The sequence below is a fragment of the Homo sapiens genome, chromosome 10 (assembly GCF_000001405.40).
Source record: "Homo sapiens chromosome 10, GRCh38.p14 Primary Assembly".
In the NCBI taxonomy this organism is placed as follows: Eukaryota; Metazoa; Chordata; class Mammalia; order Primates; family Hominidae; genus Homo; species Homo sapiens.
Genome location: NC_000010.11, coordinates 104,680,750 through 104,693,997, shown reverse-complemented (window position 1 = coordinate 104,693,997; position 13,248 = coordinate 104,680,750). Strand labels below are relative to the sequence as shown.

The 13,248-nt window shown below is 47.9% G+C and overlaps 1 protein-coding gene across 1 annotated transcript in view, besides 1 other annotated feature; it reads right to left on the bottom strand.

The window, feature by feature from the left end:
* The window catches only part of SORCS3 (sortilin related VPS10 domain containing receptor 3), a 623,953-nt gene that overhangs the window by 571,245 nt on the left and 39,460 nt on the right, over positions 1-13,248 (bottom strand). The gene's annotated exons all lie outside the window — the stretch shown is intronic.
* Positions 12,446-12,945: an enhancer, noted in NCBI's record as "H3K27ac hESC enhancer chr10:106440811-106441310 (GRCh37/hg19 assembly coordinates)". NCBI's record gives its function as "activates a minimal SCP1, AML or CMV promoter by ChIP-STARR-seq in naive H9 embryonic stem cells {active_cell/tissue: H9 hESC(naive)}" and the evidence as "EXISTENCE:reporter gene assay evidence [ECO:0000049][PMID:30033119]".

The following is a 13,248-nucleotide window of genomic DNA, read 5'->3' as shown; positions in this document are numbered from 1 at the left end:
TGTGTCTTGCTGAAGAGAGGTTTGGTTTCAAATGGATGCTTTAAAAAAATCTATTTTCTATTACATTTCCACTCCCCATGTCCTATAATAAATTACCAAAAATAGAAGCTATATAGGATAAATTGGATGGGAGAGGAATGCACATTTTGGCACATGGGGGAAGAGAACAAGAGAGAGAGAAGAAAGGTAAATAAAAGAATCTCCTCCTTGGATAATGTTTCCAACCTAGGGACTGACAGCAAATCTTGGATCCATCAATTACCAGCTATAGATCCCTGGACCTGTTATTCCTGAAGCCTCAGTTTCCTCAATTGTTAAATGGAGAGTGGTGGTACACAGACATCACAGGGTCATTGCGAAGATTAGATGAGACAAGGAGTATTCAGGGCTTAGCACTGTGTCCGTATGGAGTCAGCTCTGGGTTATTACTGTCAAGGTTGCGGTCATAATCCTCAACACCCACCCAAGAGCCAAAATGCAGCAGGAAAAGTCAGAATGAAAGAAAGTGCAGTATATTGGTTGGGTTTTTCTGAATTCTCTGCAAAGTATGTTGGCTTATAAATAGTTTTGCTTTTCTGTCTTTAAAGACATCCCCTAACATGGCAAGTCATCTCTCGGATACTCTCTATCCTCTGGTGCATTTCACAGCTCCCATGGTGTGGCTTGCTGAAATGCCAGCTCACCCTCATCACCTGTGTGTAAACCTCACACATCCGTGAGGGCATCCTCACTTTCCATTCCATACACTGGAGCTCAGCCAATCTGTCTCCTGGCTGCACAAGTGAAGGATAACAAAAGACTAGATTGATGCTTTCTCCTCTGCTGGGGAAAGCAAGGTTCCTGGATCTGCCAGCCCCACAGAGGCTACCTTACTGCTATTAAAACTATTTGTGAATCCCCTAAGAATTGCAATCCCTGAAGCTTATGTGGCTCAAAGAGGCTTCACTGTATGAGGAATGCCCCTGGGGTAGACTAGTGTTTCTAAGTGTATAGTCCCCAACGGACTCCCATCAAAAGTAAATGGGTAGCTTGTTAAAAATGCAGATTCCCAGGACTGCTGAATCAGATCTTTGGGCCAGCCCTCAGCAGCTGCAGATTTAAACAGATTTCCAGATGATTCTGATTCAACTGAAGTTTGAGGCCCCCAGAGATACAGAGTTTTCTCACTGGGTTGCAATGACAGCCCTGCTTAGAGAAGAGAGACATGCTTTTTCTTTATAGCCTAGACCACCAGACTTGGCTACCATGAATTGTTTCTGAACTTCCCCAACCCCAAGCCCTACTGCCAAATATTTACTCAATGGTCAACAAATTCTTATTTAACACTTGAAAATGTGTAGTCTATTAATGTCTCTGAAGTTTGGTGATCCTTGGAGAAATGTTTCATTTTCCCAGTTAGAGTGTAAGCTGGACAAAGACAAGAATGATGACTCATTCAACAAATATGGAGCACCCACTGTATGCCCATCCCAGTGCAGGCACCATGGAGAACAGAGAAGTATTAGGTTGGTGCAAGAGTAATTGCAGTTTTTGCCATTGAAAGTAATATAAGCCATGGTCCAACTTTGTAGGAACTGATTGTGTACATACAGAAAACTCAGTCCATCTTGTGCCCCAAAGCCTCAGAGACATTCTGCATCTAAAGCTGCCCTTGACCACTGAGGCACTGTGGCACAGACACATGACGAGAAGGCTGACAGTCAGTTTCTTTCCTCTGCTGCTGCAGGCACAGATCTCCCTCATCCATTCTTCCCTCTGTTATTTCTCCCCAAGGCCTCCCACACTCTGCATCCCCACTCCCCTTCCCCAACTGAGAAGGAAGGAGGAAAAAGGCTCAATCCCTTCCCCAGATCCTTGTTGAGATGATCCCATCTCAGAAAGGCTGCCAGGTTGCTGACAGACACCAGCCACAAGAGCCTATAGACAGTTACCTAACCCCAAATCAAGTCCTGATCAGCTCATGAATACCTGTATGTGTCCACATTGCAGGGTAAAAAAAAACAGACCCTTGTCTGGGGTGGAAGGTAAAGTATAAAAGGAAATCAAGCTTGGACAACATAGCAAGATCTCACCTCAACAATAACAAAAAATTAGCCAGGTGTGGTGGTCCACACCTATAGTCCTAGCTACTTAGGAGGCTGAGGTGGGAGGATCACTTGAGCCCAGGAGTTTGAAGTTATGGTGAGCTATGATCACACCACTGCACTCCAGCCTGGGTGGCAGAGCAAGACCCTGCCTCAAAAAACAAAAAGAAAAAAGGAAATCAAACACACATTATATAGTTCATTTAATTAACCAAAATGGACATATAAACAATTACATGCCACATAATAAGATGGTAAGGGAGGGACAGGGCAGCCAATTATTATTTTAGCATCTGCTCCATGTCTTGAGTTAGCAAAAGGAACAGAGAAAAACAAAGGAGGAGAACTGGAAGTGAATGTCGTCCCCAGAGCCAGGGTCAAATGGTCCAGACAAGACAGGGAAGATGAAAACTAAATGGCCCACATTGGGCGAATGAATCCGGAAACACTTCCCAGAAGAGGTGATTTAAAGCTTGGCCTGATTTTTTTTCTCTTTAGTTGGTGCTAATCCAGCAAAGACTTCTCTATGTCTGTCTCTTTTAATAATTTTGTTTTTTAGTTTTCTAAACCCACACAAACAACTTCTTCCAATCCTCCCACTGTAGTCTTTTTCATTTTCCTCCCACCCTCACCCCCATCATAGGGTGCCCAGCCTGGTTGCTAATGCAGTGGACTGGTCTGAGTCTGATAGGTCCAGGGGTCTCCTTGTCACCATGTGGATGGAATTCCTCCATTTGGTTGCTATGACACCATGGTGCTAGAGCTCTTCAGCCTTGTTACCATGGAATCCTTCCTTCCCCATCTTTTATTGCATGTCAGGAGGGCAACAGCACTGCAGGACAAGCTGCCCACGGGTGCTGGCAAAGCCCATCCCCCTGGACACTGTCCTAAAGTATGCAATGGTCTGAGCCTGAGCCAGCTGTAATCACACACCTGAACTAAGCCAAGCTGCAGAAGAGTTTTCCAGTGGACCCTTCAAAAGGTCAAACACATAGAAACAGCTTTGTAAAATCTGTATCCAAACACAAAGTGCTCTGAACACACATGGGGGCTCTCTTCCATAAAGGAAGCATTGAGTTATTGCTATCAGGGTCTTGCCTGGTCCCTCGATGCACAGTCAGGGGTCAGCAGACCTTCTTTGGATCACGGATCCATAGGAGAATGCCTGTTGTCCACTATCCTGAAACCCAAGACCTCGTCCTCATCAACTCAATGTTCTCATGATGATGAACAAGGAGGGAAAAGTAGGAAGTGAAAAAGAGGGCTTCTGTTTGTACAGTGAATATAAATATAAAGGTTCCTGCAACACAAAAGCCCACACCTCTGAATCTACATTCTGGATTACATGAAGGTCTGCCTATGCCTGAGGGTGAAGCACTCCAGGTGAAGTGGTAGGAAACCTGGGTTCCAGTCTTGCCTCAACCCTGTGACTTTGGGCAAAGCATTTCTTCTCCATGAGCCTTGGTCTCCTCATCTGTAAAGTATGGGACTCTGAGAAGATCATCTCTCCAGGCTGTTTCCAAACTGACATTCTTCACCGCTCAGTGGGAGACTCCAGAGATGGGGACTTCTGAGTCATCACTCCTGAGAGGAGCACGGCAGCAGAATATGGGTTACTGAGGACTGACCCGTCAAATCCACATCCCACACCCCCACCTTGAGGAGTCCCAGGGTCCAGAGAAGTGCTTCAACCCCAAGAATTATGCCTTTGCAGGTACTGCCATGCAGGCCAGATCTATGCATAAGGGAGTCTCCCAGCTTCCCAGCTACAGGCAAGGGATAAAGGAAACTTCAATTCCTCAGTGAGCCAGACCCAGAGCCGACCCAGGCACTGCAGCCACTCTCCCTTAAACATCCCTCATGCTTCCAGAAAATGACCCCTCCTGTTGGTTGGACAGCAACCAAACTGAAGAATTTCAAATATAAACATACATTAAGATTAAAGCATGCCAAAAGAGAGGCTGATGATGCTACACAATGGAAGTACCTGCTCTGGAATTAACCAGTTAGCCACAGACAAGATGGGATGGTACGGTTTACAGAGAAATCAGTCTGCAAATTCAGAAAATCCCGAGCTGGAATTCCTTTTCTCTAGGCCTTCGGTGTTTCTGTTCTCCATGCCTCACTGTCCAGCCCATCAGCAAATGGCACTGGGCCAGGTGTTGGGTATATGATGGTGAAGCAGCTGATAAGCCACCTGCCCTGCAAGATGTTATCATCCAGTGGTGAAGACTGACAAAATGAAAAAAAAGGTCAAGTTGTAATAAACCACTGAGAGATAAAACAGGTGCTAATATAAATAAAGTAGTTTTCCAGTGTAAGGGGAGTCAGGGAGGGCTACTCTGAAAAGGTGACATTTAAGCTGAGATCTCATGAACAGTGAGAAGATGAAAGTGTCCCAAGTAGAACCAACAGCTTGTGCAAAGGCCCTGAGGCATGAATGATTAAAAGATATAATTCATGGAACTTCCAGTCTACATGAAGAGACAGACACGCAAACAAACAACCACAAGTCCACACATTGTGGAATGTGGATGGCAACATGGGCAACGTAAGCAGAACTTAAGAGTAAGAGTCCTGAAGGCCAAGTTGGCCAGTGGCTGTCAGGAGGGCTTCCTGGAGGAAGAGGTATCTGAGCTGAACACTGAAGGATGACTGGATCTTGCTGAGTCAGGAGAGACACAGAAGGTACACAGTCCTGGAGGTGTGAAGGGCACAGAGCTTTCTTGGAACTACAAGCAGTTTTATTTACCTGGAGCTCCAGGTGGGAGGACAGGAGTGATGGAAAATGAAGCAAGAATGCCTAAAGAGGGCAAGTCATGCAGGGCCTCATATGCCGAGGCAAGAACAGGAGCCAAAGTGTGAGTGCCCTAAGTAGGTGGAGCAGCAGGGTGTTAACTGAGTAAGAGGCCACTCTGAGCTATACTCTACCTCAGGCACTTCTGGGTGGCACATTCTCACTTCCTTGGCATGCATGCCCATCTGAAGGGGCCAGGGCTCATCTCCCATGGGTCACACAGAACCTGCCCTGGGCATCTCCTTGTCAGTGAGGACTCAAGGACTTGCTGCCAATAACTGGCCACGTTGGGCAGGTTCCTGGGAGTTGGCACGTGGAGGGAATAGAGTCTGTGGGTATGGAACAGCAGGTAACTAAGGATGCGTCAGAATCCCACCCACAGAGGTACTTCCTGAATGGCTGGTGTGGAGGGAATCTGAGAGAGAGGGTGAAAAGAAGAGAAGAAAATGATAGGGGAGGAAGAAAAGAGGAAAGAGAGTAGAGAAAAAGAACAAGAAAGGGAGAAAACTGGAGTTGAGGCCGAACAATCCACCCATTAGGGGTGAGAACGCTCAGAGCTCCGCAGGCTGCTTCTTTCAAGAAGAAAACAGAAGCGGTCCCCACCGCTGCACTCCTGCACGTATCCACACACGCTGCTACTCTCTGCCCACGCTGGCTGGCAGGCGCTGGAGTCAACGTGCTCTGATTCACAACGCCCTCTGCATCCACTAAGCTCAAAGCTTCTGCACCACGGCTGGGTCCCCCCCTCCAACTGCCCCCCCACACACGCAGCCTCTGCCTGGGCAGCTCCCTTCACCCGAATCGTCCCTCCTTCAGAGCTTTCAGCCTCCAGGCTGCTGGATGAGTGGCCAGTCAGGGTGCAGGGCTTCCTTGCCCCCACAACCCTGCTTCACTGGAGACCTCCCTGACCCTGCAACTGTTCTAGTTTGGGACCAAGACGGAGGAGGCAATCCAGACCCGCTTCTGGGAGACTCAATAGGGTTGCCATACTAAGTACAGGAGACCCAGTTAAATTTGAATTTCAGATAAACAACACATAAATGTATTTGTATTTTCATTTACTAAATCTGACAATGCTATGATTTATGGTCAAAGTATGAAAATCCCTCTTCTTTTTGCTCCAAATCCTTTTCCCAAAGCTAGAGATGTGGATGATGATGATCACTAAATTCTTGGGCTGTTATGTGCCAGGCACTGTGAAAGCAAAGCACAGGCTTTATTTCAGCAAATCCTCATGAAAACCATATGTTTTCAGTACTATTATTGTCCCCCCTTTACAGATGAAGAAGTTGAGGCTTAGAACTTAGGGCACACAGCTAGGAAGCAGGGACTGAGACTGGAACTACCAGAGTCAGACTCCAGAGCCTGTGCCTTCCAGCCCTCCGCTCCCCACCACCCTCTTGACAGGCAGTGGATCCAGACATACCAGTCCAACAGAGTTCTCATGCTCAAATTATTGCCCTTCAGCTTGAAACCTGGGGGCTTCTTCTCTTCTGCCCTGCTCCTGCATGGTACCCACTCACACTTCAGGCTGTCTCCTATCCCCTACCCCTACCCCCAGTGCACAAACACACTCAGGGAAGAAATTCACATAGATCATTTACACCTTAGTGTGTATTTATGTTTGGGGTGGCCTCTCCTAGGCATTTGAATGTGGGGTTGTCTCATTTTAGAGAATAAAGATGTTGCTCATCATTAAAGGAAGCTCAGCCACTGGTATTTGGTATCAGGAAAGGGTTTTTCCATTCATCCAGTTGCCTTCTACATGGAGGCAGCTGCAAGAGGTAAGGAGCTCAGAAAGCATCAAAGTATATTAGGCAGCACCCCATTCTCCAAGCCAGATTGGTTGGATGATTTTTTAAAAGTCTGAGTCATGAGCCCTCATCTAAGGAGCTTACTGTCCAGTTGGAAAGACAAGGCCACCTTGGTGGACAGGGGATGTAAGGCAGGGCTGGAATGGATGGATGCATGGATGAATGCATGGATGTATGGATGGGTGGATAAATGGATGGAAAGATGAATGCATGGATGCATGGATGGATGACTGGATGGATGCATACATGGATGGATGAATTCATGCATGGATGCATGGATGGATGAATAGATAGATGGAAGGATGGGTACATGGATGGATGGATAGATGAATGGAAAGATGAATGCATGGATACATAGATGGATGGATGGATGGATAGATGGATTGACAGATGGAAAGACGGATGCATGGATGCATGGGTGGACTGACAGATGGATGCATGGATGGGTAGGTGGATGAATGAATGGATACATGGACAAACAGATGTATGAGGATCCTGAGACGGGGTGGGTTTGTGGTTCTAAGAGGGACCACCAACTACACAGGGCTCCTCCCAGGATCCTGGATCTTTTCCATCATGTGCAGTGAGAGGTTTTGATGACAAGGAGGGAAGAGGGAAGGATGGGTACTGGACAGATAGGAATGCATAAGGAGAAAGAACAAAGGAGGAAAAAATGGGGGAGAGAGAAGACTTGTGTGGCCTTCTGAATCCAAATGGCTCTCCCCCAGGGTTCCTGAGTCTTCCTGGCTATTACCTCAGAGTAGAACTGGTCTCACAGGGACCTGGCTTTTCATCTCTGCAATTTACCAACTGTGGGTGTCCAGAGCTCACGACGATTGGTTGTTACTTTATTTATCCAGGAGGCTGGTGCAGGGGTGAGTCAGGAAGCTGAAGTCACTCCAGTCTAAGCCTGCAGCAGTTGGTGACTCCCTTCCACCATTCCCTGTGCTCCTGCCCCCATGCCCCAGCTGGTCACCACTGCTCCTGTTGTCCCACTCCCCCAACAAAAATTACCACCCTCCCAAAACCAAGACCAGAGAACATACCCACAGAGCCCCTGGTTGCCTCAAGGAAAGCCAGGCCCCTGCTCAGAGCCTCACTTCCAAAGAACAGGCCATACCCTCCAACCTGACCTTCTCCCACCGCAGAGATAGTGATGGTGGCCTGCGAGAGAAATTAGAGTAGATGTCCCTAAAGAGATGCCTGTGCTACCTACTTTCATTCCACTTCATCCACTTCCCCCACCACACCATTCCTCCCAGGAGCTCCCTCTCTCCCACCCCAGGGCTGCAGGATCTCACTGCCAGTAAGGCACAGACAAAAGGGTCAGGCAAGAGGGAGCCGGGCAATCCCAAAGTCGAAGGAATGTCAGCAAAGAAGCCCAGAATAGAAGCAAAAACTTATCCTATCTCAGTTCTACTGGGTCTCACTAGGGGATGTTCCACTCCCTAGAAAACATTTGTGGGGACAAAGGGAAGAGGGAACCAATGACATTTAAAGGGTAGAACTAGGGCTGCTAAGTCCTACAATGCACATGATAGTCCTGCACCACAAAGAATGTTCTACCTTCCCAAAACACTAATCGTTGCTCCTACTGGAAATCACTATACAGAACGGGGCCTTATTTCCAAGCATATGTAAGTTTTTTTAAGGGCTTAAAGATGGGGAAGGTGGGCCAGGGCTTAGGCTAGAAAACTAATGCAATTCAATAAACTGGGAGAGGCACTGCTTGGCTGAGGGGTTTAGAAACTGTTCAAACAGACAGGAGGGATGTGACCTAGGTCAGGATATGCTAGAGCACCTCATGCAGGCAACCTTTGCAGCTGCTGCCTCTTCCTCCTGGGTGGGCAGGGAGAGCTGATCCCAGGTTCATGGCCCCATGATCTCACTCCAGAAGAACACTGGTAGATGGTCCCAGAAGCTCCTGCCCACTGTAGGATTCCAGTGGAACCAGGGAGTAGCAGCCTGGGTGTTAGAAGCAACCCAGGGTGACCAGTGAGCTCATTCTTGGACACAGAGCAGCATCCTTTCTCTTTGCCTTGTAGGCAGAGTCTGTGCTTCCTCTGTGCTCCTACAATGCTTAGTTCAGTCTTCTTTCAGGGCTTTTTGCATTGCATGTCTGCTATCTATTTATTTGTCTATATTCCAGCTATTCATCAACATCAATATCTATTGAGTACTTTCAGGCCAGGCTTGGTGGTACACACCTATAATCCCAGCACTTTTGGAGGCCAAGGCAGGTGGATCACTTGAGGCCAGGAGCTCGAGACCAGCCTTGCCAATATGACAAAACCCTGTCTCTACTAAAAATACAAAAATTAGCCAGGTGTGGTGATAGTCACCTGTAGTTCCAGCTACTCAGGAGGCTGAGGCAGGAGAATTGCTGAAACCCGGGAGGCAGAGGTTGCAGTGAGCTGAGATCATGCCACTGTACTCCAGCCTGGGTGACAGAGTGAGACTGTGTCTCATAAAAAAAAAAAAAAAAAAAAAAAAAAAAAAAAAAAAAAAAAAAAAAAAAAAAAACACTGAGGACTTTCCAACCAATACCTGACATTATGTTCTTTATATTTAGTAGCTCATTTATTCCCCTCAACTATATCATAAAATTGATATTATCATTATCCTCATTCTTCAGTTGAGATATCTGAAGAACAGAAGCAGTGAAAAAAAACTGCCCACAGATCCCACGAGTGGCCAGTGGTGGAAGAGGGCTGAGCAGCAGCAGGGTCCACTGAGGAGCCACAAACACACCGCAGCCCCTGCCAATGTTCAAGGGCAAGGAGTCAGCCTTACCTACATCTGTGTCCCAGGGGTGGCTCCCGTGCCGGGCACACAGTGGGTGCTCAAAAAATGTTGAAAAATTGGAGGAATTAACTGAATGAATGAATGGGCTTCCCCTATTCTGTATGTCACTATTCCAGAGAATGCAACCAAATCACCAATTAAAGATAGGAATAAGAAATGAAGCAAAGCACCATAGTGCTTACAGAATGATAACAGCTCCATTCCCTGCCACATGCCAGGCATGCTTTATGAATGGCACCTCCTTTAATCCTCGCAGCCACCCTATAAGGTGGTACCATGCTTCCTGGGTTACAGCTGAGGAAGCTGAGACTCACAGCCCTTTACCAGTCCAGGGTCACATCCCTGGAGAGTGTCAAGACCAGGGGTGCCTCGTGCCAGAGCCATCCCTGAGCCACAGCAGAATTACCACCTTGATTCCTGGAAACTTCAAGATACAGTAACTGTGTCACTTCTGTGAACTCTCCTGGTGGAGGTGATAGCATGTAAATGTAGACAACATTCTCTGTTACTATAGAGCTTTCTATAGACCCCTATTAGAGAGCTTTGCAGGCTTTCTAAGGCTCTCCTCTGAGATGGTTATAACTCAATGAGAGGGCCTTGGTCTTACTATCTTGTATCCCCAGCATAGAGCCCTGAGCCCAGCATATAGAAGATGCTTACCAAACACATGCAGCAGGAATAAGCAAATTGTTTGTTTGGCTGGACAATAAGACTTTTCATAGATGTGGAGGGACCCATTCCAGACCTTGCCAGCCACTGGTGCTGCCAGGGAGCCAACTGGCGAGCCTGTCACTTCTAAGTCCTAAGGCCAATCCCTCCCATACCTAGCTTCCCCTCTCCAAGCTGCTGTTTGGCTGGGACAAAAATCAGGTGACAAATACCACCTGGCACTAAAAATTACCCACAGCATCTATACAATGAGCCATCATGATAGCATCAAGGCAAAAGGGTAAAAATACCTTTCTCTCCTGGTCACTCCTCTCTTACTCAAGGCTTCATGCTGAGGGCAAAAATCATCCTGGAAGATATACTGACTCACCAGATAGGTCTTAGCTGGCCACTTCTTTTATCTTCCCCATAAAGAACAATTATGAGGAACAGAAGTGGGCAGTGAGGATTCATTTCAAAGCATCTGCTCTATCTGAATCCAAAGTACGTGGAGTCTTGGGCACTTTAGCCCTGAGAAGTGTATCCTGTCTCTAAGACCAAGAGGCAAACACAGACTTGTACTCAAACTTCCTATTTGAGTACTGTGCCCCAAATTTAAAAAGGCTTTCTCCTTCTCAAAGTCTTCTTTTGTTCCCTGGACTCTTCATGACCCAGGTCCAATGTTACCTTGACTTGAATGGTCCACTGTAAAGTTGGCTGGGGATGCACCAGGTTGAGGACAAGTGTCCCTACTCCTAGGACATTTAGGGCCTGCTTCTGTGGTCTGTGAGGCCCTGAGCCAAAGCATGCTTAGATGTCAAGGGTAGGTAGAGATCCCAGAGTACTGGCTAAAAGCCAATGGCCCCCACAATGGCCATGATGCCAGGGAAGAGCTGAACAACTAGATAAAATCCTGGACCAGGCCTGAGCAAGACTCAGGAGCAGAAAGCAGAGAGCTTCAGGGGCTGCTGCATCTGCCCTCAAGAGCAGTTCATGGTTTGCTTCAGGAGCCAGGGCCAGACCCCTCCATCCCAACCTTCCTCCTGGTACCAGACCCACAGCCTCCAAGTTTCCTAACGCAGGTGTCATTTTGGAATACTTTTCTGCCTAGCTGTGTTTCTTCAATGATTTTAGCAAAATAAATATGCTGGAGAAAGCTGCATCTCCTGCAATTTGACCAGCAGCCCCCAACCTCTTCCAGAGCAGCCTGGGAGGCAGGATGCATTAACCATCCTATTGCCTACATAAGTTATTCCTTAAGGACTTGACCCAAGTTCCATAGGAGGCACCCCTCTGCCTGGAATTAGAATGTTAGAGCTGAAAGTACTTTTAAAAATAAAAGCTAACCTGCTGAGGACTTATAAGGTTCAGGCCTTATTCAGATTCACACAGAGTCCTCCAACAACCTTACAAGGTAGTTACATCATTAACCCCTTTTTACAGGAAAGGGAGCCAAAGCCAGAGAGGCTAAGAAACTGGCCCAGCTTCACAAAGGTGATACGTGCAAGAGTCCAGGCCATGCAGCCCCAGGACCTGGCCTCATATTCATTCATTCACCAACTATTAGACACCTACTTTGGGCCAGGTGTGCCAGGTGAGATGCTCATGAACTAGCATGAAGATTTTTTCCAAGTAAACAAACTGCTTTCTGGAGAGGCCACTAAATTTCACAGCTCTGGAAATAAAAGAGAACCAGAAAGCACACAATCACAAAATGTTTCTACCACCTTGCCTTGCTAAGTTTCCCCACCTCTATAATACTCCCCCCACCAGCCCCTTCACAGTATCACATGGCAGCCTGGAAACAAAACAGACAAAATCTGTCTTCATGGAGACTGCATTCCCACCAGAGGACAGGCAATCAATAGATAAATCATTAAAATATACAATATGCAGGACATTTACAGGAGGAAAACTAAGGCAGGAAAAAAAAGAGAAATATGTGGAGGGGAACATAGTATTAGACTGGGTGGCCAGGACAGGACTGAGAAGACACATTTAAGTAAAAACCAGAAGAGGAGAGAATGAACCATGCAGCTATCAGGGGACAGAGCATTCCGAGAAAGGGAGCCGTCCATGCAAAGGCCCTGGGGCAGGAGCTTTACTGGGGTATTGGAGAACAGAGAGGCTAGTGTAGATGGACCCAGGAAGCTAGAGGAGCAGACAGGAATGAGGTGAGGGTGCAACTGGCCATGGGAAAGACTCTGGCTTCAACTCTGATCAATCCCCTAGTGATGGAGAAAGAACCTAGGCTCAGAGAGGGCTGGTGATTCCCTAAAAGCCACACAGGGCTAGAGTGCAAACCAAGGCCCCTAAGCAAAATCAACCTGAACTGTTCATCCCACCAAGCCTTGCCCCAGAGCCTCTTCCTCAGCCCACAGCCCCTGGAAGCCCATCTTGGACTTCAAACAGCTATTGGGTGAATTGACGCAAAAAGACGAGCCTGGTGGTGTTCCGTGGGAGGGCTGGGGCCTGGGTTCGCTCAGCAGCCCCCACACTGCAGGCAGGGGCGGGCGGGGGAGGATGACGGAGTCGGCCCGGGAAAGGACTCCAGGGTGCCAGGAAGCCTGCGGCACTGCTGCGCTCTCCAGCTCTCTCTCATCTCTCAGGCTGGAAAAAGCAACCGCCTCTCCAGAAAGTGGGTTTGTTTACTTGGAGAAAATCCCCATGCTGATTCATGAGCGTCTCCCCATGCCTGCGCTGCAAATAAATAACGTACATTTCCCGTTTTAAAGTGGGAAAGCAGGGAGACCGGCATGTGTTACGCCCAAGCGCATGCGCAAGCTGGTCCTCTTCCCGGGAGAGAGGGGAACCGAGGCGGAGCTCTGCGGAAGGTGGGGTCCTAGGGAGTTTGCTCTCTGCCCTGGCGCCTGTCCCTCCTGCTCTCTGTTCCCCGCAGGGCCTGCCTGGCCTCCTGCTCCTTCTGAAGGCTGGTGGTCTGGGAGGTATTTGCTAAGGCTTTTCGTTGCCTCCTTCTTGCTGGTGCTTGAGAGAAGCTCTCAGGAGCGATTCAGAACTCTCCACAAGGGCGCACCTGCAGCTTGCCTGCTTCCTACAGAGCAAAACCTCACAAGAGCCCTCCAGAGAACCTGGAAGTCAT